Raw genomic sequence first — 27,291 nt, 5'->3', positions numbered from 1 at the left:
CCAACTTAGACAATACTCTTTTAAGCACTCCTTTTTAGTTATCCCCACCTGCCCAGTTCCCTTATTAGGCTGAGACACTTTAACTAAATTATCTGCTTCCCTGACTATTCCTGGACTACAGCCACATCTCATTGCCACCCTTCTTCCCAATCCAAAGCCTCCTTTATGTCCTCCTCTTGCATCCCCCCACCTTAACCCACAAGTATAGGATACCTCTACTCCCTCCTTGGTGACCGATCATGCACCCCTTACCATCTCATTAAAACCTAATCACCCTTACCCCACTCAATGCCAATATCCCATCCCACAGCACGCTTTAAAAGGATTAAAGCCTGTTATCACTCGCCTGCTACAGCATGGCCTTTTAAAGCCTATAAACTCTCCTTACAATTCCCCCATTTTACCTGTCCTAGAACCAAACAAGCCTTACAGGTTAGTTCAGGATCTGTGCCTTATCAACCAAACTGTTTTGCCTATGCACCCCGTGGTGCCAAACCCATATACTCTCATATCCTCAATACCTCCCTCCACAATCCATTATTCTGTTCTAGAACTCAAACATGCTTTCTTTACTATTCCTTTGCACCCTTCATCCCAGCCTCTCTTTGCTTTCACTTGGACTGACCCTGACACCCATCAGGCTCAGCAAATTACCTAGGCTGTACTGCTGCAAAGCTTCACAGACAGCCCCCATTACTTCAGTCAAGCCCAAATTTCTTCCTCATCTGTTACCTATCTCAGCATAATTCTCGTAAAAACACATGTGCTCTCCCTGCTGATTGTGTCCGAATAATCTCCCAAACCTCAATCCCTTCCACAAAACAACAACTTCTTTCCTTCCTAGGCATGGTTACTGCGGTCAGAATTCTTACACAAGAGCCAGGACCGCACCCTGCAGCGTTTCTGTCCAAACAACTTGACCTTACTGTTTTAGCCTAGCCCTCATGTCTGCATGCAGTGGCTGCCACTGCTTTAATACTTTTAGAGGCCCTAAAAATCACAAACTATGCTCAACTCACTCTCTACAGTTCTTATAACTTCCAATATCTATTTTCTTCCTCATACCTGACGCATATACTTTCTGCTTCCCGGCTCCTTCAGCTATATTCACTCTTCGTTGAGTCTTCCACAATTACCATTGTTCCTGGCATGGACTTCAATCTGGCCTCCCACATTATTCTGGATACCACACCTGACCCTCATGACTGTATCTCTCTGATCCACCTGACATTCACCCCATTTCCCCATATTTCCTTATTTCCTGTTCCTCACCCTGAACACATTTAGTTTATTGATGGCAGTTCCACCAGGCCTAATCACCACTCACCAGCAAAGGCAGGCTATGCTATATTATCTTCCACATCTATCATTGAGGCCACTGCTCTGCCCACCTCCACTACCTCTCAGCAAGCCGAACTAGTTGCCTTAACTGAAGCCCTCACTCTTGCAAAAACACTACGTGTCAATATTTATACTGACTGTAAATATGTCTTTCATATTTTGCACCAACATGCTGTTACATAGGCTGAAAGAGGTTTCCTCACTATGCAAAGGTCCTCCATTATTAATGCCTCTTTAATAAAAACTCTGCTCAAGGCCACTTTACTTCCAAAGGAAGCTGGAGTCATTCACTACAAAGGCCATCAAAAGGCGTCAGATCCCATTGCTCTAAGCAACGCTTATGCTGATAAGGTGGCTAGACAAGCAGCTAGCTTTCCAAATTCTGTCCCTCACAGCCAGTTTTTCTCCTTCACATCGGTCACTCTCACCTACTCCCCCGCTGAAACTGCCACCTATCAATCTCTTCCCATACAAGTGAAATAGTTCTTAGACCAAGGAAAATATCTCCTTCCAGCCTCACAGGCCCATTCTATTCTGTCGTCATTTCATAACCTCTTCCATGTAGGTTACAAGCCACTAGCCCGTCTCGTAGAACCGCTCATTTCCTTTCCATCCTAGAAATATATCCTCAAAGAAATCACTTATCAGTGTTCCATGTGCTATTCTACTACCCCTCCCTTTCCTGCACATCAGGCTCAGGGATTTGCCCCTGCCCCGGACTGGCAAATTGACTTTACTCACATGCCCCAAGTCAGAAAACTAATACCTCTTGGTCTGGGTAAACACTTTCACTGGATAGGTAGAGGCCTTTCCTACAGGGTCTGAGAAGGCCACCACGGTCATTTCTTCCCTTCTGTCAGACATAATTCCTCAGTTTGGCCTTCCCACCTCTATACAGTCTGATAGTAGACTGGCCTTTATTAGTCAAATCAGCCAAGCATTTTTTCAGGCTCTTGGTATTCAGTGAAACCTTTATATCCCTTAAAGTCCTCAGTCTTCAGGAAAGGTAGAACAGACAAATGGTCTTTTAAAAACACACCTCACCAAGCTCAGCCACCAACTTAAAAAGGACTGGACAATACTTTTACCACTTCCCCTTCCCAGAAGTCAGACCTGTTCTCGGAATACTACAGGGTACAGCCTATTTGAGCTCCTGTATGGACGCTCCTTTTTATTAGGCCCCAGTTTCATTCCAGACACCAGACCAAATTGGACCGTGCCCCAAAAAACTTGTCATCCCTACTATCTTGTCTAGTCATACTCCTATTCACTGTTCTCAACTACTCATACTTGCCCTGCTCTTGTTTACACTGCCAGTTTACACTGTTTCTCCAAGCCATCACAGCTGATATCTCCTGGTGCTATCCCCAAACTGCCACTCTTAACTCTTAAAGTAAATAAATAATCTTTGCTGGCAGGACTATGCTGAATCTCCTTAGGCACTCTCTAATTAAATGTCCTAGGTCCTCCCCAATTCTTAGACCTTTAATACCTGTTATTCTCCTTCTCTTATTCCGTTTTTCAATTCATACAAAACCGTATCCAGGCCATCACCAATAATTCTAAATGACAAATGTTTACCACAAAATCTTCCTTCAGCTTATTCTCTCCCACTCTAGGTTCCCATGCCACCCCTATCCCGCTCGAAGCAGCCCTGAGAAACATCGCCCATTATCTCTCCATATCACCCCCAAAAATTTTTGCCGTCCCAACACCTTACCACTATTTCATTTTATTTTTCTTATTAACATAAGAAGACAGGAATGTCAGGCCTCTGAGCCCAAGCTAAGTCATCATATCCCCTGTGACCTGCATGTACACATCCAGATGGCCAGTTCTTGCCTTAGCTGATGACATTCCACCACAAAAGAAGTGAAAATGGCCTGTTCCTGCCTTAACTGATGACATTATCTTGTGAAATTCCTTCTCCTGGCTCATCCTGGCTCAAAAGCTCCCCTGCTGAGCACCTTGTGACCCCCATTCCTGCCCCCCATAGAACAACCCCCCTTTTTCCTTTACCTACCCAAATCCTATAAAACAGCTGCACCCCATCTCCCTTTGCTGACTCTCTTTTCGGACTTAGCCCACCTGTACCCAGGTGATTAAAAAGCTTTATTGTTCACACACACACACACACTCACACGCACGCACACACACACACACACACAGTGTTATTAAGAATTGCAAGTACAAATAATGAAACTTTAAAAATCCACTTGTGGCAAATTAAATGGGTAAAAATAAATCGAGCTTGATATACATAAAACATAAGGAAAAAAGTAGAGAAAGTCAAAATGTACCAGATAAAAAAAAATATGAGAAAATAAAAATTGCTTTTGAAAAAAACAACACACTGGTCAAGTAGAAACAGAAGACTAAGGAAATACCTAAGCAATAATATGTAAATAGATTGAAGAACCAGGTATATCCATAGACATATAGAAAAGAAAATAGAAATATATATATGCTTACACACTTACATATATACATTCACTTACAGTCTTATTTTTGTATCAGCTTATATTCTGTCCTAGAGTTTATTCAAATCTCAGCAGAGAGTTAAGAAAGGATTTTTATTTGCAATTCCATTTATCATATTCCTTATTTTATTTGGATTAGTATAGGCCACACTGAATTTTCAAGTGAATATCAAATCTCTGTAATTTTTAAAAGAATGTACTCTCTATTTGTAAATACAATGTTGTAGGATAAATATACTAATGCTGGTCCTTCAGAAAGAAATTTAAAATATACCAAAATCTAAAAATGCACTTACTTGAAAATCAAATGAATCCACTAAGTGTATTTACTCTCCCACCAACCCACTCCCATTTGTCTCACATAAAGCCCTTTTTTATCATATAAAATAGCATGGTTGCATTACATATATTCTACTATATCCCATAAAATGGTGCATGTGAAATTATTTTAAAAGAACACCTCTGAGCTGCTGTATTCAAGAAAGCCAAGAAATAACAGTATTTACATTTCTTTCCAGCCTAGAATGTATTTATTATAGGAAGCAATTCCTTTTCCCTCCAAAAGTAAAATTAACGTTTATATATCACTTAGTATGTACCAAGATTGTCCTAGGTACATTATATCTAACAACTCACAAAATACAAATAACCCTGAACAATAGCTATTAAAAGAATTTAAAATACTTCCATGAACTATATAGCACTACAGAAAACGCAGCACATGAAAATATAGTAAGAGCACTGCATAACACATTGTATGCAGTAAAATATTTTGGAATAAATGAATGAATCCATTAGAAAATATTTGAAGACTTCCTACAGGCCACACACTGTTCTATTAAACAAGACATACAAATGTTGCTACATTTATAATGCTAGTGAGGGGTGAGGGGAAATACATAATACTTAAAAGTAAGTAAATTATTTGGTATATTAGAAGATAATTTTGGTATGAAAAATAAACAGGAGAAGATAAAGATCAGGAGTGGGGAGGTGGAACAAGATGGTGAAATAGAAGGGTCTGCCAATCATCCCTCCTGCAAGGACACCAATTTAACAACTATCTACACACACACATACACACAAAGCACCTTCATAAGAGTCAAAAACCAGGGAACACTCACAGTACCTGATTTTAACTTCATATTGCCGAAACAGACACTGAAAAGGTAGAAAAACAGTCCTGAATCACTGACACCACCCTTTTCTCATCCCCTGACAGAAGTGCCAGAGTGGTCCAGAGAGGTTTCTGTGCACTGAGGCAGGGAAAGCACAGCAATTTGAGGCATTGAACTCAGTGCTGACCTGTTAAAACAGAAATGAAAAGTGAACCAAACTCAGCTTATGCTCACCGGTGGAGGGAGCCCTACCTGGGGGGGAAACTGTTAATCCCAGTGGACAGTACTTCAGTTCTCACAAGCCTCACCACGATGGGCTAATGTGTTCTGGCACTCTAAATAAACTTGAAAGGCAGTCTAGGCTGCAACACCTAGGCGAGTCCTAGTGATAAACTGGGCCAAGAGCCAGAGGACAGGAGGACACGTGACATACTGAGACATCAGCCAGAGAGGCTAAGGGAATGTTGGCATCACCCCTCCCCTAATTCCAGGCTGAACAGCTCATGTCTCCAAAAGAGATCCATTCCTTCTGCTTGAGGAGAGGAGTGGGAATAGTGGGGAGGACTTTGTCTTGCATCCTGAATACCAGCTCAGCCACAGCAGAATAGGGTACCAGTCAGAGTCATGAGGCCTCCTCTCCATGCCCAAACTGCTAGATAACACTCCTAGACACACCCTGGGCCAGAAAGAAACCTGCTACCTTAAACGGAAGGACTGAGTCTTGGCACCATTCATTGCCTGCTAACTGAAGAGCCCTTGGGCCCTGAATAACCAGCAGCAATACCCAGGTATTATGTTGAGGGACTTGAGTGAGATTCTGAGATTTACTGGCTTCAGGTGAGACTCAACACATTCCCAGCTGTGGTGGCTATGGGAAAAGACCCCTTCTGCTTAATAAAATTGGAGGGAAAAATAAAGGGGACTTTTTCTTGAACCTTAGGTTCCAGCTTGGCCATAGGGCGGTAGAGCACCAAGTGGATTCTTGTGTTCTCCAATTATAAGACTTTGCCCTTGGAAGACATTGCTGGACCTGCCCTGGGCCAGAGGAGTACCCGCTGCCCTGAACGGTGCGTCCCAAGCCAGGCAACATTCACCCAAAGCAGACTAAAGAGCTCTTGGGCCTTAAAGGAACATCAGTGGTAGTCTGGCAGTATTCCCTATGGGCCTGTGGAAGTGGTGGCCACAGGCTGAGGTTCCTCAGTCTTTGGAAAGGGGAGGGAAGAGTGGGAAGGACTGCACCTGGTGGTTTGACTGCCAGCTCAGCCACAGTAGAGCAGAACACCAGATAGACTTCTAAGGTTTTTTACGGTACTCCTTGTCTCCCGGAGAGTACCTCTGGACTCACCCAGGGCCTGGGTGAACGTGTGACCCTGAAGGAAAGGACACAAGCCTGGCTGGCTTTGTCACCTGCTGATTGTAAAATCTCATACCCTTGAGCAAACATAGGCAGCAGCCAGGGAGTTGGTTTGAGCAATCCTTGGGCAAGACCCAATGCTGTGCTGGCTTCAGGTCTAACCTAGCACAGTCACCATGGTGGTGGTCAAAAGGTTGCTTGTGACACTACACCCCCAGCTTCAGGTAGCTCAGAGCAAAGAAAGAAACTCCATTTGTTTGGGAGAAAGTAAGGGAAGAGAACAAGAGTCTCTGCCTGTTAATTCTGAGAATTCACCCAGATCTTGTCCAAGACCATCAAGGTGGTACCTCTATGCATCTGCAAGAACCACAGGTTTACCAGGTTTGGGGTGACCCTTAAAGTAGATACAGCTTAGATTACAACACACAAGTCCTTCTGAATATCTGGGAAAGTCTTCCCAAGAAGGACAGGCACAAACAAGCCCAGACAGTGATGACTACAATAAATACTTAACTCTTCAATTTCCAGACACAGACAAACATCTACAAGCATTAAGACAACCCAGGAAAACATGACCTCACCAAAGAAGGCAATAGGGACTAATTTTGGCAACACAGAGATATGTGACTTTTCAGACAGAGAATTCCAAATAGCTGTTTTGAGGAAACTCAAAGAAATTCAGAATAACATGGAGAAGGAATGCCTCCAGCTTTGTTCTCTTTGCTTAGGATTATCTTGGCTATTTGGGCTCTTTTTGGTTTCATATAAATTTTAAAATCGTTTTTTTTTCTAGTAGTGTGAAGAATGTCATAGGTAGTTTGCTAAAAACAGAATTGAATCTATAAATTCCTTTGGGCAGTATGGCCATTTTAACAATATTGATTCTTCCTATCCTTGAGCATGTAATGTTTTTCTATTTGTTTGTGTCATCTCTGATTTCTTTGAGTAGTGTTCTATAGTTCTCATGGTAAAGATCTTTCACCTCCCTGATTAGCTGTATTCCTAGGTATTTTATTCTTTTTGTGGAAACTATAAATAGGATCGCATTCTTGATTTGGCTCTCGGATTCACTGTTGTTGGTGTATAGAAATGCTAGTGATTTTTCTAGGTTGACTTTGTAAGGGATTTTCACTTTTACCACTGTTATTCAACATAGTAGTGGAAGTCCTAGCTAGAGCAATCAGACAAAGAAATAATAAAGTGCATCCAAATTGGAAAGAAAGAAATCAAATTATCCTTATTTGCAGATGATATGATCTTATATTTGGAAAAACCTGAAGACTCCACCAGAAAACTGACATGAGTATCAGTTTATGAGAATTAAAAAACAAATTCAGGAAAGTTGCAGGATACAAAATGAACATATAAAAATCAGTAGCATTTCTATATGGCAACAGCAAACAATCTGAAAAAGAAATCCTAAAAGTAATCTCATTTAAAATGCCACAAATAAAATTAAATACTTAGGAATTAACCAAAGAAGTGAATGATATCTATAGGGAAAACTAAAAAACACTGATAAAAGAAATGGAAGAGGATATCAAAAAATGAAAATATATTCCATGTTCATGGATTGGGAGAATCGATATTGTTAAAATCTCCATACTACCCAATGCAATCTACAGATTTAATTCAATCCCTGTCAAAATACCAAGGACGTTCTTCACAGAAATAGGGGAAAAAAATCCTAAAATTTATATGGAATCACAAAAGACCCAGAATAGCCAAAGCTATCCAGAGCAAAAGAATAAAACTGGGGGAATCACATTACCTAACTTCAAATTATACTACAGAGCTATATTAAATAAAAGACCTTGGTTCTGGCATAAAAACAGACACAAAGACCAATGGAACAGAATAGAGAGCTCAGAAACAGATCCATATACCTATAGTAAATTCATTTTCTTTTTCTTTTAAGTTCTGGGGTACATATGCAGGATGTGCAGGTTTGTTACATAGGTAAACGTGTGCCATGGAGGTTTGCTGCACCTATCAACCAACCACCTAGGTAATACGCCCAACATGCATTAGCTATTTTTCCTAATGCCTTCCCTCCTCCCACCCCAGCCCCAACAGGCCCTGGTGTGTGTAGTTTCCCTCCCTGTGCCCATGTGATCAGCTCCCACTTATAAGTGAGAACATGTGGTGTTTGGGGTTTTTTTTTTCTTGCATCAGTTTGTTGAGGATAATGGCTTCCAGCTCCATCCATGTCCCTGCAAAAGACATGATCTTGTTAATTTTTATGGCGGCATAGTATTCCACAGTGTGGTGTATATATACCACATTTTCTTTATCCAGTCTATCACTGATAGGCATTCGGGTTGATCCCATGTCTTTGCTATTGTAAATAGTGCTGCAATGAATATCCGAGTGCATGTATCTTTGTGATGGAATGATTTATATTCCTTTGGGTATATACCTAGTAGTGGGATTGCTGGGTCAAATGGTATTTCTGGTTCTAGATCACTGAGGAATCACCACACCGCCTTCCACAATGGTTGAACTAATTTACATTCCCACCAACAGTGTAAAAGCATTCCTATTTCTCCGCAACCTCACCAACATCTGTTGTTTAGTAAATTCATTTTCAACAAACGTGCCAAGAACATACACTGGAGAAAAGGTTGTCTCTCAATAAATGGTGCTGGGAAAACTGGATATCTATATGTAGAAGAATGGAACTAGACCCTCATCTCTCACCATATACAACAATTAAATATAAATGGACTACAGATTTAAAGCTAAGACCTCAAACTATAAAACTACTACAAGAAAACGTTAGTGGAAATCTCCAGGACATTGGTCTGGGCAAAAATATCTTGGGTAATACCCCATAAGCACAGGCAACCAAAGCAAAAATAAACAAATGGGATTACATGAAGTTAAAAAGCTTCTGCACAGCACGGAAAACAATCAACAAAGTGAAGAGATAACCCACAGAATGGGGGACAATATTTGCAAACTACCAATCTAACAAGGGATTTATATTCAATACCTATAAAGAACTCAAACAACTCTATAGGAAAGAACTCAATTACAAGAACTCTGATTAAAAAATGGCCAAAATACCTGACTAGATATTTCTTAAAAGAAGACATACAAATGGCAAACAGGCATATGATCAACATCAACATCAACATCATTGATCATCAGAGAACTGCAAATCAAAATCACAATGAGATATTGTCTCACCCCAGTTAAAATGGCTTATATCCAATGACAGGCAATAACAAAGGCTGGTGAGGATGTGGAGAACAAAGGCTGACGGGATGTGAGGATGTGTATGCTGTTGGCGGAATGTAAATTAGTACAACCACTATGGAGAGCAATTTGGAGGTTTCTCAAAAAACTAAAAATAGTGTGACCATATGATCCAGTAATCCCACTGCTGGGTATATACCCAACATAAAGGAAATCAGTAAGTATATCAAAGAGATATCTCCATTCTCATGTTTGTTCCAGCACTGTTCACAACAGCCAAGATCTGGAAGCAACCTAAGTGCCCATCAACATGTTACTGGATAAAGAAAATACGGTACATATACAAAATTGAGTACTATTCAGCCATAAAAATGAATGAGATTCTGTCATTTGCAACAACATGGATGGAACTAGAGATTGTTATATTAACCGAAATAAGCCAGGCACACAAAGACAAAAATCACATGTTCTCACTTACATGTGTGATTTAAAAATCAAAATAATTGAACTCACAGAGATAGTTGAAGCAGAAGGATGGTTACCAGAGGCTGGGAAGGGTAGTGGGCAGTTGAATCAGGCGAAGGTGGGGATGGTTAATGGGTACAAAAAAAATAGTTAGAAAGGATGAATAAGATCTACTGTTTGATAATACAACAGGGTGACTATAGTCAATAATAATTTAACTGAACATTTTTAAATAACTAAAAGAGTATAATTGGATTTTTTTTTAACACAAAAGATAAATATTTGAGGGATGGATACTTCATGCTCCATGATGCGATTATTGCACATTATCATGCTCCATGATGTGATTAGTACACATTTCATGCCTGTACCAAAACATGTCATTTACTCTATAAATATACACACCTACTATGTACCCACAGAAATTAAAAATAAATAACTTTTGGCCTGGTGCAGTGGCTCACTCCTGTAATCCCAGCACTTTGGGAGGCCAAGACGGTTGTATCACAAGGTCAGGAGATCAAGACCATCCTGGCTAACATGATGAAACCCTGTCTCTACTAAAAATACAAAAAATTAGCCAGGCGTGGTGGTGGGCGCCTGTAGTCCCAGCTACTCAGGAGGCTGAGGCAGGAGAATGGTGTGAACCCAGGAGGCGGAGCTTGCAGTGAGCTGAGATTGCACCATTGCACTCCAGCCAGGGTGACAGTGCGAGACTCGGTCTCAAAAAATAAATAAATAAATAAATAAATAAATAAATAAATAAATAAATAAAATAACTTTTAAAAAAAGACCAGGAGTGGGGTCAGAGCAGGGAGCAGGTTATGATTTTAAATATGGTGGTCAGGCTGGGCCTCATTAAGAAGATGACATTTGTGCAATGACTGTAAAGGAATGAGAGAGATAACACTTCTGCCATCTGGCTGCTCTACGAAAATCAGACATAGTGAGTGTATTAATCTCCTAGGGCTTTCATAATAAAGTACCACAAACTGGGTGACTTAAACAATAGAAATTCATTCTCTCATAGTTCTGGAGACTAGAAGTACAAAATCAGTGTTGGTAGGGACACTCTCTCTGCAAACTCAAGAAGATTCATCCTTGACTCTTCCAGCTTATAGTGCTAATGGCAGTCCTTGGCAGTCCTTTGCTTATAATAGATAGAGGTTCTTTTCACCTCCATTCTCCCACAGCTTTCTCACTCTCTGTGTGTCTCTGCTTACTTATCTTATAAGGACACCAGCCATTGGATTCTAACCCATTTTAATCCAGTAAGACCTCATCTTAATTAATTATCTCGGCAAAGACCCTATTTCCAAATAAGGTCACATTCTGAGGTTCCAGGTGGATATGAATTTTTTGGGGGGGGAACACAATTCAACCCAGTACACTAAGTCAAGGATATAAGCAAGAAGACCTGTTAGGAAATGATAGCAATAATTCATTAGTAAAAATTAATTGTGCTTCAAAATGGTTTGTTAGCAGTAGAGGTAGTAAGGAATGTTAGATTTTTATTACATCTTAAAGGTAAACTAACAAGATTTGTGAGTAGACTAAAAGTAAAACATGGAAGACAGAAGTCAAAGATCAGTTCAAGCTTTTGGCCTGAACAATCTAGAAGGAATGAGTTGCCATCAACTAAGCAAAACAAATAAACAAACAAAACTGCTGACAAATCATGTTTCAGTATCTTTGCTGTAAGAATTAGGAGGGGGACATTCCAACATAGCCAAATAGGAACAGCTCAGTCTACAGCTCCCAGAGTGAGTGATGCAGAAGACGGGTGATTTCTGCATTTCCAACTAAGGTACTGGGCTCATCTCACTGGGGCTTGTTGGACAGTGGGTGTGGGACAGTGGGTGCAGTCCATGGACCGTGAGCTGAAGCAGGGTGAGGTAGTGCCTCGCCCAGGAAGCAGAAGGGGTCGGGGAATTCCCTTTCCTAGCCAAGGGAAGCTGTGACAGACAGCACCTGGAAATTCGGGTCACTCCCACCCTAATACTGGGCTTTTCCAATGGTCTTAGCAAACGGCACACCAGGAGATTATATCCCATGCCTGGCTCAGAGGGTCCCACACCCATGGAGCCTCACTCATTGTTAGCACAGTGGTCTGAGATAGAACTGCAAGGTGGCAGCGAGGCTGGGGAAGGGGTGCCCATCATTGCTCAGGCTTGAGTAGGTAAACAAAGCAGCCAGGAAGCTCGAACTGGGTGGAGCCCACCACAGCTCAAGGAGGCCTGCCTGCCTCTGTAGACTCCACCTCTGTGGGCACGGCACAGCTGAATAAAAGGCAGCAGAAACTTCTGCAGACTTAAACATCCCTGTCTGACAGCTTTGAAGAGAGTAGTGGTTCTCCCAGCACGGACAAACTGCCTCCTCAAGTGGGTCCCTGACCCCTGAGTAGCCTAACTGGGAGGCACCTCCCAGTAGGGGCCAACTGACACCTCATACGGACAGGTCCCCCTCTGAGATGAAGCTTCCAGAGGAACGATCAGGCAGCAACATTTGCTGTTCTGCAATATTTGTGGTCCTACAGTGATGCCCAGGCAAACAGGGTCAGGAGTGGACCTTCAGCAAACTCCAACAGACCTGCAGCTGAGGGTCCTGACTGTTAGAAGGAAAATTAACAAACAGAAAGGACATCCACACCAAAACCCCATCATATGTTACCATCATCAAAGACCAACAGTAGATAAAACCACAAAGATGGGGAGAAACCAGATGAGAAAAGCTGAAAATTCTAAAAATCAGAGTGCCTCTTCTCCTCCAAAGGAATGCAGCCCCTCACCAGCAACAGAACAAAGCTGGATGGAGAATGACTTTGATGAGTTGAGAGAAGAAGGTTTCAGAAGATCGGTAATAACAAACTTCTCCAAGCTAAAGCAAGATGTTTGAACCCATTGCAAAGAAGCTAAAAACCTTGATAAAACATTAGACAAATGGCTAACTAGAATAAACAGTGTAGAGAAGATCTTAAATGACCTGATGGAGCTGAAAACCATGGCATGAGAACTACGCGACACATGCACAAGCTTCAGTAGCCAATTAGATCAAATGGAAGAAAGGGTATCAGCGATGGAAGATCAAATGAATGAAATGAAGCAAGAAGTTTAGAGAAAAAAAGAGTAAAAAGAAATCAACAAAGCCTCCAACAAATATGGGACTATGTGAAAAGACCAAATCTACGTCTGATTGGTGTACCTGAAAGTGACGGGGAGAATGCAACCAAGTTGGAATACACTCTACAGGATATTATCCAGGAGAACATCCCCAACCTAGCAAGGCAGGCTAACATTCAAATTCAGCAAATACAGAGAATGTGACAAAGATACTCCTTGAGAAGAGCAACCCCAAGACACATAATTGTCAGACTCACCAAAGTTGAAATGAAGGAAAAAATGTTAAGGGCAGCCAGAGAGAAAGGTCAGGTTACCCACAAAGGGAAGCCCATCAGACTAGCAGCAGATCTCTCAGCAGAAACTCTACAAGCCAGAAGAGAGTGGGGGCCAATATGCAACATTCTTAAAGAAAAGAATTTTCAACCCAGAATTTCATATCCAGCCAAACTAGCTTCACAAGTAAAAGAGAAATAAAATCCTTTACAGACAAGCAAATGCTGAGAGATTTTGTCATCACCAGGCCAGCCTTACCAGAGCTCCTGAAAGAAGCACTAAACATGTAAAGGAACAACCAGTACCAGCCACTGCAACAACATGCCAAATTGTAAAGACCATCAATGCTAGGAAGAAACTGCATCAACTAACGAGCAAAATAACCAGCTAACATCATAATGACAGGATCAAATTCACACATAACAATATTAACCTTAAATGTAAATGGGATAAATGCTCCAAATAAAAGACACAGACTGGAAAATTGGATAAAGAGTCAGGACCCATCAGTGTGCTGTATTCAGGAGACCCATCTCACATGCAGAGTCACACATAGGCTCAAAATAAAGGGATGGAGGAAGATCTACCAAGAAAATGGAAAACAAATAAAAGCAGGGGTTGCAATCCTCATCTCTGATAAACAGACTTTAAACCAACAAAGATCAAAAGAACAAAGAGAGCCATCACATAATGGTAAAGGGATCAATTCAACAAGAAGAGCTAACTATCCTAAATATATATTCACCCAATACAGGAGCACCAAGATTCATAAAGCAAGTCCTTAGAGACCTACAAAGAGACTTAGACTCCCACACAATAATAATGGGAGACTTTAACACGCCACTGGCAACATTAGACAGATCCATGAGATGGAAAGTTAACAAGGACATCGAGGAATGAACTCAACTCTGCACCAAGCAGACCTAATACACAGCTCCAGAACTCTCCACCCCAGATCAACAGAATATATATTCTTCTCGGCACCACATCGCACTTATTCCAAAATTGACCACATAGTTGGAAGTAAAGCATTCCTCAGCAAATGTAAAAGAACAGAAATTATAACAAACTGTCTCTCAGACCACAGTGCAATCAAACTAGAACTCAGGATTAAGAAATCAGTCAAAACTGCTCAAATACATGGAAAATGAACAACCTGCTCCTGAATGACTACTGGGTACATAACAAAATGAACATAGAAATAAAGATGTTCTTTGAAACCAGTGAGAACAAAGACACAACATACCAGAATCTCTGGGACACATTTAAAGCAGTGTGTAGAGGGAAATTTATAGCACTAAATGCCCACAAGAGAAAGCAGGAAAGATCTAAAATTGACACCCTAACATCACAATTAAAAGAACTAGAGAAGCAAGAGAAAACACATTCAAAAGCTAGCAGAAGGCAAGAAATAACTAAGATCAGAGCAGAAAGGAAGGAAATAGAGACACAAAAAAACCCTTCAAAAAAATCATTGAATCCAGGAGCTGTTTTTTTGAAAAGATCAACAAAATTGATAAAGCACTAGCAAGACTAATAAAGAAGAAAAGAGAAAAGAATCAAATAGATGCAATAAAAAATGATAAAGGGGATATCACCACTGATCCCACAGAGATACAAACTACCATCAGAGAATACCATAAACACCTCTACGCAAATAAACTAGAAAATCTACAAGAAATGGATGGATTCCTGGACACATACACCCTACCAAGACTAAACCAGGAAGAACTGGATAGACCAATAACGGGCTCTGAAATTGAGGCAATAATTAAGAGCCTAACAACCAAAAAAAGTCCAGGACCAGATGGATTCACAGCCGAATTCTACCAGAGGTGCAAAGAGGAGCTGGTACCATTCCTCCTGAAACTATTCCAATCAATAGAAAAAGAGGGAATCCGAGAGGGAGGAGCCAAGATGGCCGAATAGGAACAGCTCCGGTCTACAGCTCCCAGCGTGAGCGACGCAGAAGATGGGTGATTTCTGCATTTCCATCTGAGGTACCGGGTTCATCTCACTAGGGAGTGCCAGACAGTGGGCGCAGGCCAGTGTGTGTGCGCACCGTGTGCGAGCCGAAGCAGGGCGAGGCATTGCCTCACCTGGGAAGTGCAAGGGGTCAGGGAGTTCCCTTTCCGAGTCAAAGAAAGGGGTGGCAGACAGCACCTGGAAAATTAGGTCACTCCCACCCGAATATTGCGCTTTTCAGACCAGCTTAAGAAACGGCGCACCACGAGACTATATCCCACACCTGGCTCAGAGGGTCCTACGCCCACGGAATCTCGCTGATTGCTAGCACAGCAGTCTGAGATCAAACTGCAAGGCGGCAACGAGGCTGGGGGAGGGGCGCCCGCCATTGCCCAGGCTTGCTTAGGTAAACAAAGCAGCCAGGAAGCTCGAACTGGGTGGAGCCCACCACAGCTCAAGGAGGCCTGCCTGCCTCTGTAGGCTCCACCTCTGGGGGCAGGGCACAGACAAACAAAAAGACAGCAGTAACCTCTGCAGACTTAAGTGTCCCTGTCTGACAGCTTTGAAGAGAGTAGTGGTTCTCCCAGCACGCAGCTGGAGATCTGAGAACTGGCAGACTGCCTCCTCAAGTGGGTCCCTGACCCCTGACCCCCGAGCAGCCTAACTGGGAGGCACCCCCCAGCAGGGGCACACTGACACCTCACACGGCAGGGTATTCCAACAGACCTGCAGCTGAGGGTGCTGTCTGTTAGAAGGAAAACTAACAACCAGAAAGGACATCTACACCGAAAACCCATCTGTACATCACCATCATCAAAGACCAAAAGTAGATAAAACCACAAAGATGGGGAAAAAACAGAACAGAAAAACTGGAAACTCTAAAACGCACAGCACCTCTCCTCCTCCAAAGGAACGCAGTTCCTCACCAGCAACAGAACAAAGCTGGATGGAGAATGATTTTGACGAGCTGAGAGAAGAAGGCTTCAGACGATCAAATTACTCTGAGCTACGGGAGGACATTCAAACCAAAGGCAAAGAAGTTGAAAACTTTGAAAAAAATTTAGAAGAATGTATAACTAGAATAACCAATACAGAGAAGTGCTTAAAGGAGCTGATGGAGCTGAAAACCAAGGCTCGAGAACTACGTGAAGAATGCAGAAGCCTCAGGAGCCGATGCGATCAACTGGAAGAAAGGGTATCAGCAATGGAAGATGAAATGAATGAAATGAAGCGAGAAGGGAAGTTTAGAGAAAAAAGAATAAAAAGAAATGAGCAAAGCCTCCAAGAAATATGGGACTATGTGAAAAGAGCAAATCTACGTCTGATTGGTGTACCTGAAAGTGATGTGGAGAATGAAACCAAGTTGGAAAACACTCTGCAGGATATTATCCAGGAGAACTTCCCCAATCTAGCAAGGCAGGCCAACGTTCAGATTCAGGAAATACAGAGAACGCCACAAAGATACTCCTTGAGAAGAGCAACTCCAAGACACATAATTGTCAGATTCACCAAAGTTGAAATGAAGGAAAAAATGTTAAGGGCAGCCAGAGAGAAAGGTCGGGTTACCCTCAAAGGAAAGCCCATCAGACTAACAGCGGATCTCTCGGCAGAAACCCTACAAGCCAGAAGAGAGTGGGGGCCAATATTCAACATTCTTAAAGAAAAGAATTTTCAACCCAGAATTTCATATCCAGCCAAACTAAGCTTCATAAGTGAAGGAGAAATAAAATACTTTATAGACAAGCAAATGCTGAGAGATTTTGTCACCACCAGGCCTGCCTTACAAGAGCTCCTGAAGGAAGCGATAAACATGGAAAGGAACAACCGGTACCAGCCACTGCAAAATCATGCTTAAATGTAAAGACCATCGAGACTAGGAAGAAACTGCATCAACTAATGAGCAAAATCACCAGCTAACATCATAATGACAGGATCAAATTCACACATAACAATATTAACTTTAAATATAAATGGAATAAATTCTGCAATTAAAAGACACAGACTGGCAAGTTGGATAAAGAGTCAAGACCCATCAGTGTGCTGTATTCAGGAAACCCATCTCATGTGCAGAGACACACATAGGCTCAAAATAAAAGGATGGAGGAAGATCTACCAAGCCAATGGAAAACAAAAAAAGGCAGGGGTTGCAATCCTAGTCTCTGATAAAACAGACTTTAAACCAACAAAGATCAAAAGAGACAAAGAAGGCCATTACATAATGGTAAAGGGATCAATTCAACAAGAGGACCTAACTATCCTAAATATTTATGCACCCAATACAGGAGCACCCAGATTCATAAAGCAAGTCCTCAGTGACCTACAAAGAGACTTAGACTCCCACACATTAATAATGGGAGACTTTAACACCCCACTGTCAACATTAGACAGATCAACGAGACAGAAAGTCAACAAGGATACCCAGGAATTGAACTCAGCTCTGCACCAAGCAGACCTAATAGACATCTACAGAACTCTCCACCCCAAATCAACAGAATATACATTTTTTTCAGCACCACACCACACCTATTCCAAAATTGACCACATAGTTGGAAGTAAAGCTCTCCTCAGCAAGTGTAAAAGAACAGAAATTATAACAAACTATCTCTCAGACCACAGTGCAATCAAACTAGAACTCCGGATTAAGAATCTCACTCAAAGCCGCTCAACTACATGGAAACTGAACAACCTGCTCCTGAATGACTACTGGGTACATAACGAAATGAAGGCAGAAGTAAAGATGTTCTTTGAAACCAACGAGAACAAAGACACCACATACCAGAATCTCTGGGACGCATTCAAAGCAGTGTGTAGAGGGAAATTTATAGCACTAAATGCCTACAAGAGAAAGCAGGAAAGATCCAAAATTGACACCCTAACATCACAATTAAAAGAACTAGAAAAGCAAGAGCAAACACATTCAAAAGCTAGCAGAAGGCAAGAAATAACTAAAATCAGAGCAGAACTGAAGGAAATAGAGACACAAAAAACCCTTCAAAAAATCAATGAATCCAGGAGCTGGTTTTTTGAAAGGATCAACAAAATTGATAGACCGCTAGCAAGACTAATAAAGAAAAAAAGAGAGAAGAATCAAATAGACACAATAAAAAATGATAAAGGGGATATCACCACCGATCCCACAGAAATACAAACTACCATCAGAGAATACTACAAACACCTCTACGCAAATAAACTAGAAAATCTAGAAGAAATGGATACATTCCTCGACACATACACTCTCCCAAGACTAAACCAGGAAGAAGTTGAATCTCTGAATAGACCAATAACAGGCTCTGAAATTGTGTCAATAATCAATAGTTTACCAACCAAAAAGAGTCCAGGACCAGATGGATTCACAGCCGAATTCTACCAGAGGTACAAGGAGGAACTGGTACCATTCCTTCTAAAACTATTCCAATCAATAGAAAAAGAGGGAATCCTCCCTAACTCATTTTATGAGGCCAGCATCATTCTGATACCAAAGCCGGGCAGAGACACAACCAAAAAAGAGAATTTTAGACCAATATCCTTGATGAACATTGATGCAAAAATCCTCAATAAAATACTGGCAAACCGAATCCAGCAGCACATCAAAAAGCTTACCCACCATGATCAAGTGGGCTTCATCCCTGGGATGCAAGGCTGGTTCAATATACGAAAATCAATAAATGTAATCCAGCATATAAACAGAGCCAAAGACAAAAACCACATGATTATCTCAATAGATGCAGAAAAAGCCTTTGACAAAATTCAACAACGCTTCATGCTAAAAACTCTCAATAAATTAGGTATTGATGGGACGTATTTCAAAATAATAAGAGCTATCTATGACAAACCCACAGCCAATATCATACTGAATGGGCAAAAACTGGAAGCATTCCCTTTGAAAACTGGCACAAGACAGGGATGCCCTCACTCACCGCTCCTATTCAACATAGTGTTGGAAGTTCTGGCCAGGGCAATCAGGCAGGAGAAGGAAATAAAGGGTATTCAATTAGGAAAAGAGGAAGTCAAATTGTCCCTGTTTGCAGACGACATGATTGTTTATCTAGAAAACCCCATTGTCTCAGCCCAAAATCTCCTTAAGCTGATAAGCAACTTCAGCAAAGTCTCAGGATACAAAATCAATGTACAAAAATCACAAGCATTCTTATACACCAACAACAGACAAACAGAGAGCCAAATCATGGGTGAACTCCCATTCACAATTGCTTCAAAGAGAATAAAATACCTAGGAATCCAACTTACAAGGGATGTGAAGGACCTCTTCAAGGAGAACTACAAACCACTGCTCAAGGAAATAATAGAGGACACAAACAAATGGAAGAACATTCCATGCTCATGGGTAGGAAGAATCAATATCGTGAAAATGGCCATACTGCCCAAGGTAATTTACAGATTCAATGCCATCCCCATCAAGCTACCAATGACTTTCTTCACAGAATTGGAAAAAACTACTTTAAAGTTCATATGGAACCAAAAAAGAGCCCGCATTGCCAAGTCAATCCTAAGCCAAAAGAACAAAGCTGGAGGCATCACACTACCTGACTTCAAACTATACTACAAGGCTACAGTAACCAAAACAGCATGGTACTGGTACCAAAACAGAGATATAGATCAATGGAACAGAACAGAGCCCTCAGAAATAATGCCGCATATCTACAACTATCTGATCTTTGACAAACCTGAGAAAAACAAGCAATGGGGAAAGGATTCCCTATTTAATAAATGGTGCTGGGAAAACTGGCTAGCCATATGTAGAAAGCTGAAACTGGATCCCTTCCTTACACCTTATACAAAAATCAATTCAAGATGGATTAAAGATTTAAACGTTAAACCTGAAACCATAAAAACCCTAGAAGAAAACCTAGGCATTACCATTCAGGACATAGGCGGGGCAAGGACTTCATGTCCAAAACACCAAAAGCAATGGCAACAAAAGACAAAATTGACAAATGGGATCTAATTAAACTAAAGAGCTTCTGCACAGCAAAAGAAACTACCATCAGAGTGAACAGGCAACCTACAACATGGGAGAACATTTTCGCAACCTACTCATCTGACAAAGGGCTAATATCCAGAATCTACAATGAACTCAAACAAATTTACAAGAAAAAAACAAACAACCCCATCAAAAAGTGGGCGAAGGACATGAACAGACACTTCTCAAAAGAAGACATTTATGCAGCCAAAAAACACATGAAAAAATGCTCATCATCACTGGCCATCAGAGAAATGCAAATCAAAACCACTATGAGATATCATCTCACACCAGTTAGAATGGCAATCATTAAAAAGTCAGGAAACAACAGGTGCTGGAGAGGATGCGGAGAAATAGGAACACTTTTACACTGTTGGTGGGACTGTAAACTAGTTCAACCATTGTGGAAGTCAGTGTGGCGATTCCTCAGGGATCTAGAACTAGAAATACCATTTGACCCAGCCATCCCATTACTGGGTATATACCCAAATGAGTATAAATCATGCTGCTATAAAAACACATGCACATGTATGTTTATTGTGGCACTATTCACAATAGCAAAGACTTGGAACCAACCCAAATGTCCAACAATGATAGACTGGATTAAGAAAATGTGGCACATATACACCATGGAATACTATGCAGCCATAAAAAATGATGAGTTCATATCCTTTGTAGGGACATGGATGAAATTGGAAACCATCATTCTCAGTAAACTATCGCAAGAACAAAAAACCAAACACCGCATATTCTCACTCATAGGTGGGAATTGAACAATGAGATCACATGGACACAGGAAGGGGAATATCACACTCTGGGGACTGTGGTGGGGTCGGGGGAGGGGGGAGGGATAGCATTGGGAGATATACCTAATGCTAGATGACACATTAGTGGGTGCAGCGCACCAGCATGGCACATGTATACATATGTAACTAACCTGCACAATGTGCACATGTACCCTAAAACTTAGAGTATAATAAAAAAAAAAAAAAAAGAAAGAAAAAAAAAAAAAGAAAAAGAGGGAATCCTCCCTAACTCATTTTATGAGGCCAGCATCATCCTGATACCAAAGCCTGGCAGAGACACAACCAAAAAAGAGAATTTTAGACCAATATCCCTGATGAACATTGATGCAAAAATCCTCAATAAAATACTGGCAAACCGAATCCAGCAGAACATCAAAAAACTTATCCACCATGATCAAGTGGGCTTCATCCTTGGGATGCAAGGCTGGTTCAAAATATGCAAATCAATAAACGTAATCCAGCATATAAACAGAACCAAAGACAAAAACTACATGATTATCTCAATAGTTGCAGAAAAGGCCTTCGACAAAATTCAGCAGCAGAAAAGGCCTTCGACAAAATTCAGCAGCCCCTCGTGCTAAAAACTCTCAATAAACTAGGTATTGATGGGACGTATCTCAAAATAATAAGAGCTATCTATGACAAACCCATAGCCAATACCATACCGAATGGGCCAAAACTGGAAGCATTCCCTTTGAAAACTGGCACAAGATAGGGATGCCCTCTCTCACCACTCCTATTCAACATAGTGTTGGAAGTTCTGGCCAGGGCAATCAGGCAGGAGAAAGAAATAAAGGGTATTTAATTAGGAAAACAGGAAGTCAAATTGTCCCTGTTTGCAGATGACATGATTGTATATTTAGAAAACTGCATCATCTCAGCTCAAAATCTCCTTAAGCTGATAAGCAACTTCAGCAAAGTCTCAGGATACAAAATCAATGTGCAAAAATCACAAGCATTCTTATACACCAATAACAGACAAACAGAGAGCCAAATCATGAGTGAACTCCCATTCACAATTGCTTCAAAGAGAATAAAATATCTCGGAATCCAATTTACAAGGGATGTGAAGGACCTCTTCAAGGAGAATTACAAACCACTGCTCAATGAAATAAAAGTGGACACAAACAAATGGAAGAACATTCCATGCTCATGGGTAGGAAGAATCAATATCGTGAAAATGGCCACACTGCCCAAGGTAATTTATAGATTCAATGCCATCCCCATCAAGCTACCAATGACTTTCTTCACAGAATTGGAAAAAACTACTTTAAAATTCATATGGAACCAAAAAAAGAGCACGCATTGTCACGACAATCCTAAGCCAAAAGAACAAAGCTGGAGGCATCACGCTACCTGACTTCAAACTATACTACAAAGGTACAGTAACCAAAACAGCATGGTACTGGCACCAAAACAGAGATAGACCAATGGAACAGAACAGAGCCCTCAGAAATAATACCATACATCTACAACCATCTGATCTTTGACAAATCTGACAAAAACAAGAAATGGAGAAAGGATTCCCTATTTAATAAATGGTGCTGGGAAAACTGGCTAGCTATATTTAGAAAGCTGAAACTGGATCCCTTCCTTACACCTTATACAAAAATTAATTCAAGATGGATTAAAGACTTAAATATCAGACCTAAAACCATAAAAATCCTAGAAGAAAACCTAGGCAATACCATGCAGGACATAGGCATGGGCAAGGACTTCATGTCTAAAACACCAAAAGCAATGGTAACAAAAGCCAAAATTGACAAATGGGATCTAATTAAACTAAAAAGCTTCCACACAGCAAAAGAAACTACCATCAGAGTGAACAGGCAACCTACAGAATGGGAGAAAATTTTTGCAATCTACCCATCTGACAAAGGGCTAATATCCAGAATCTACAAAGAACTTAAACAAATTTACAAGAAAAAATCAAACAACCCCATAAAAAAGTGGTCAAAGGATATGAACAGACACTTCTCAAAAGAAGACATTTATACAGCCAAAAGACACATGAAAAAATGCTCATCATCACTGGCCATCAGAGAAATGCAAATCAAAACCACAATTAGATACCATCTCACACCAGTTAGAATGGCGATCATTAAAAAGTCAGGAAACAACAGGTGCTGGAGAGGATGTGGAGAAATAGGAACACTTTTATACTGTTGGTGGGACTGTAAACTAGTTCAACCGTTGTGGAAGACAGTGTGGCGATTACTCAAGGATCTAGAACTAGAAATACCATTTGACCCAGCCATCCCATTACTGGGTATATACCCAAAGGATTATAATTCATGCTGCTATAAAGACACGTGCACATGTATGTTTATTGCAGCAGTATTCATAATAGCAAAGACTTGGAACCAACCCAAATGTTCATCAATGATAGACTGGATTAAGGAAATGTGGCACATATACACCATGGAATACTATGCTGCCATAGAAAAGGATGAGTTCATGTCCTTTGTAGGGACATGGATGAAGCTGCAAACCATCATTCTCAGCAAACTATCGCAAGGACAGAAAACCAAACACTGCATGTTCTCACTCATAGGTGGGAATTGAACAATGAAGACACTTGGACACAGGGTGGGGAACATCATACACTGGGGCCTGTCGTGGGGTGAGGGGAGGGGGGAGGGATAGCATTAGGAGCTATATGTAATGTAAATGACAAGTTAATGGGTGGATAACACCAACATGGCACATGTATACATATGTAACAAACCTGCACGTTGTGCACATGTACCCTAGAACTTAAAATATAATAATAATAAAAAACAGAATTAAGAATAGGGAGGTTAGAAGTTCAGTTTTACATATATGAAGTTTAAGATGCTCATTCAACATCTCAGTGAAAACATCAATTAAGCAGCTGGATATACAAATATGAAGTGGGGAGAGAGCCTGGCAAATCTGGAGTTGGGGGAGACCTGGAAAGGAGTTGAAAATTTGGGAGTTATTGGCTAGCATTTAAATAAATGCAATATTTAAAACAGTAGCTAGAGATAACCATTCAGAATGTGAGCAGGTGAGTTACCGGGCAATAAGAAAATGAATAAGACACAGAGAGAGAGCAGGAAGAAGCAATTCCCAAGGAATGAGTAAAGCATGCTACCAAAAACATAATGGCAAAAGCAACACTTCTTATCTAATGTGTCAACAAACATCTATGACTTTAAGAAATTTTTTGGTATTTAGAAATAACAAAAACAAGAAATTCTTGCAAATAGTAAGAAGAATCCTTCAATAATAAAAGGACCAAGTGCTGAGAGGGAGTTAGGAAAGAGGATGGAACATGCAAAAGAGTATTTTGGTCTTTGGACAGGGAAATTTTAGAGAGAGCTCACACTGAAAGAGCAACCATTCTCTTGGCATAATAAACAAAGGATGTTTCCTGATTCCTTAGACAGTAACAACTGGAAATGGATATTACAACAATATTTATAGTATTCATGGTTTTTATATTTAATATGTGCTTAAATTAATTACAGAGTAAATGTACTATCACTCATTTGTATGCTGGTAAGGGCAGTCTTTCTTGTTTCATCATAAAGTTTCAAATAAAAATATCTCAGACAGATAATCATAAATATATGTTAAAGTACATTTATATCTAATAGATGCTTCCTAACAAGCATAGTCACAATCTTGACATCACTACCAGTAATTGCTTCATATGTATACCATATGCTGCTACAGTGGAAAGCACTTTGGAAATACACATTAAGAACTTTAAAATGTTCATTTAAAAAAATTTTTTTGAGATGGGGTCTTGGGGGTCTTGTTATGTTTCCCAGGCTGGTCTCAAACTAAGCTCAAGCAATTGTTCCACCTCAGCCTCCTGAATAAATGGGATTACAGGCATGTGCCACTTCACCCAGCTCTGACAAATTTTCATCTGGTAATTTTATTTCAGGAAATATATCCTAAGAATGAATGCCAACACACAACAACAACAACAAAAAATTCAAGGATGCTCATATTACATAATGCTAGAAAATTATAGTATCTTCATACACTGGAATATATTAGGTAATGTGTTAGATGGTATTGATCAGAGATATCAATACTGGAGGATAAGTTGTTATTAAGTATTGTTACAAACAAAAGAAGTCATCAGTCAGTAAATTCAGGGTAGAATAGAGTAATAAGTGTAACCCTATACAAAATCAGATGAAACAAGAAAAACTCAACAGAAAATTTACAGTGTTAAAATTATAGAAGTGAGGTCAGCCAAGACCTCTGTGGGAGTTTAACCTAGTAGGGTAAGATGTAAGCAAAAATGGAGTTGAAAATGTACCTTTTTCTGTTGTCCTAAGATTGGTTCCTTCTTTTATGCCTTCTATATTTTGATAAAATTCCATATATAAATGTGGTAATTGTTAACTAGAAATAAAGCAAAATGTCCTAGTTAGTTTCATCTTAAGGAAAGTTCTGAGAGGGGCCCATTGAATTAGTCAAGTAAAAGGTTCTAAATGACAAAGAGAATAAATTTGGGTTTTATATTTCAGGAATTTCACTGCAGCTGGATGCTTGGGAATGTCTTAGGTATGGTAGACCCGTTGTTCCTATTGCTGAATTTGGTGATAACCTGTATAAACAAAAGGAGTTTTGTGCATTCATAAAATGTATTATACTCTTCTGCATCATTACCAGAAAGAGACTTTTAGCTGGAAAAACACAAAGCTCATTTTCCTGATGGCCTGGGTAAATTGGCTTGGGATTGGATCAATTGCAGCAGCCTGCCATTTAGAATGCTTACTCCATTGCTTGCTAATACCCAGAAGGGTCAACTCTGCTCAAAGTAGGTTGTGGGCATTAAATCAGGAACCAACAGATTACGTAAGCATTAAACATGTTCATGAAGAATTTGCAATAAACCTGGAAAATGCTTATATTAAAAGCAGGAAAATTTTATATATTCAGTAGTATCTCAATAATGTAAAAATTATGAATGAGAAAAAACATTGAGTAGTTCTATCTAGAGTGGCAATGTAAGGATTTTTGTTTTCTTTGTATTTAAAAAAATTACATAAAGAGTACATAGTACTTGTACAAATAGGGAGTGTGGAGAGTTTCTGGGGCTCAGAGTGAAAAATAGCCATTAAGCAGTTTCCTTTAACAAGGTTCATTTCTTTCTGACTATGCTTTATCACTGTTAAACACTAAACTAATTGAGGTCCACAACAAAGAAAATAATTAACAAATTAGTGAATTGTGCTTCTGCTTATACTTCATTCCCCAAATGCCTAATCAACCTTATTAAAAGTAGCTTTTTTTATTAACAGTAAGCAAAAAGCTAACTTGTAAATTTTATTATTGTCCTTCCTTGATACAAATGTTTCCTGGCCCATGGGAAACTATGACAAGTTTTTCTTCTTCCTTTCTTAATCTTTGCTCACTGTGAACCTCTCATTTCAAGTAGAATGCATGACATAGAACTCTCTAAAATTTCATTCAGAACATAGAAAGATGCTGCCACCTGCCTTTCCCTATGTTCATAGATACCCAGCCAACAAAGAAGCAGAGGATGACCACCACTGACACTACCAACTAGAACATATATGTGTGCTCCAGAATCCACCCTTTTTCTAATGACTTGGAGCTGCATACTTTTGAAATGTATGTGATTCTCAAAGACACATTGTTGTATCTCCGCTGTTTCTTTCATAAACCAAGGGATGTTTAATTATAAAAAAGAATCAACAGACCCAATTCACTTTACCTTTGAGCAACCAAGTCCTCAGATGTAGAAGCCACAGAGCATGTTGTGCCAACCTCTCTCTGCTCATGTCCCTACACTTTAGAATTAAGCTATGCATCCATTATCGATTGCCCTGTAGGCATTCACTGACTGATATCTTTGAAAAGTTTTCTAAATCACCTGATTAAAATTGGTTTCTGAGCCCATCAGCATATATCATTAGGTTCCTGAACTTATTCCAAGAACAGTTGTGGCACAGACATCTTGAACAGTCTTCCTGTGTGGGGTCTAAAAAGAGAACACCTTCTGGGTCAACCATTACTTCTAGTGCTCAAAGGTAAGGTTAATTAGGAGCCACAGAACTGGTAAAGTCAAAGGTCCTTTAAAAAAGTGATTAATTACTAAAACCTCTCGAACCCTTTATCACAGCCTCAAAATAGTAGAATGTGAAAATTTTTTATAGGATCAAAAATATTATGTTGAC

The 27,291-nt window shown here is 40.2% G+C and overlaps 1 long non-coding RNA gene across 1 annotated transcript in view, besides 1 other annotated feature; it reads right to left on the bottom strand.

Annotated features, from left to right (window-relative positions):
• The window catches only part of LOC105370476 (uncharacterized), a 166,495-nt gene that overhangs the window by 71,425 nt on the left and 67,779 nt on the right, over nt 1-27,291 (bottom strand). The gene's annotated exons all lie outside the window — the stretch shown is intronic.
• Nucleotides 2,970-3,473: an enhancer, noted in NCBI's record as "NANOG hESC enhancer chr14:45964153-45964656 (GRCh37/hg19 assembly coordinates)". NCBI's record gives its function as "activates a minimal SCP1, AML or CMV promoter by ChIP-STARR-seq in primed H9 embryonic stem cells {active_cell/tissue: H9 hESC(primed)}" and the evidence as "EXISTENCE:reporter gene assay evidence [ECO:0000049][PMID:30033119]".

Source organism: Homo sapiens, chromosome 14 (genome assembly GCF_000001405.40).
Source record: "Homo sapiens chromosome 14, GRCh38.p14 Primary Assembly".
In the NCBI taxonomy this organism is placed as follows: Eukaryota; Metazoa; Chordata; class Mammalia; order Primates; family Hominidae; genus Homo; species Homo sapiens.
The sequence above is the reverse complement of the archived record's forward strand: the minus strand, read 5'-3'. Positions and strand labels throughout refer to the sequence as shown.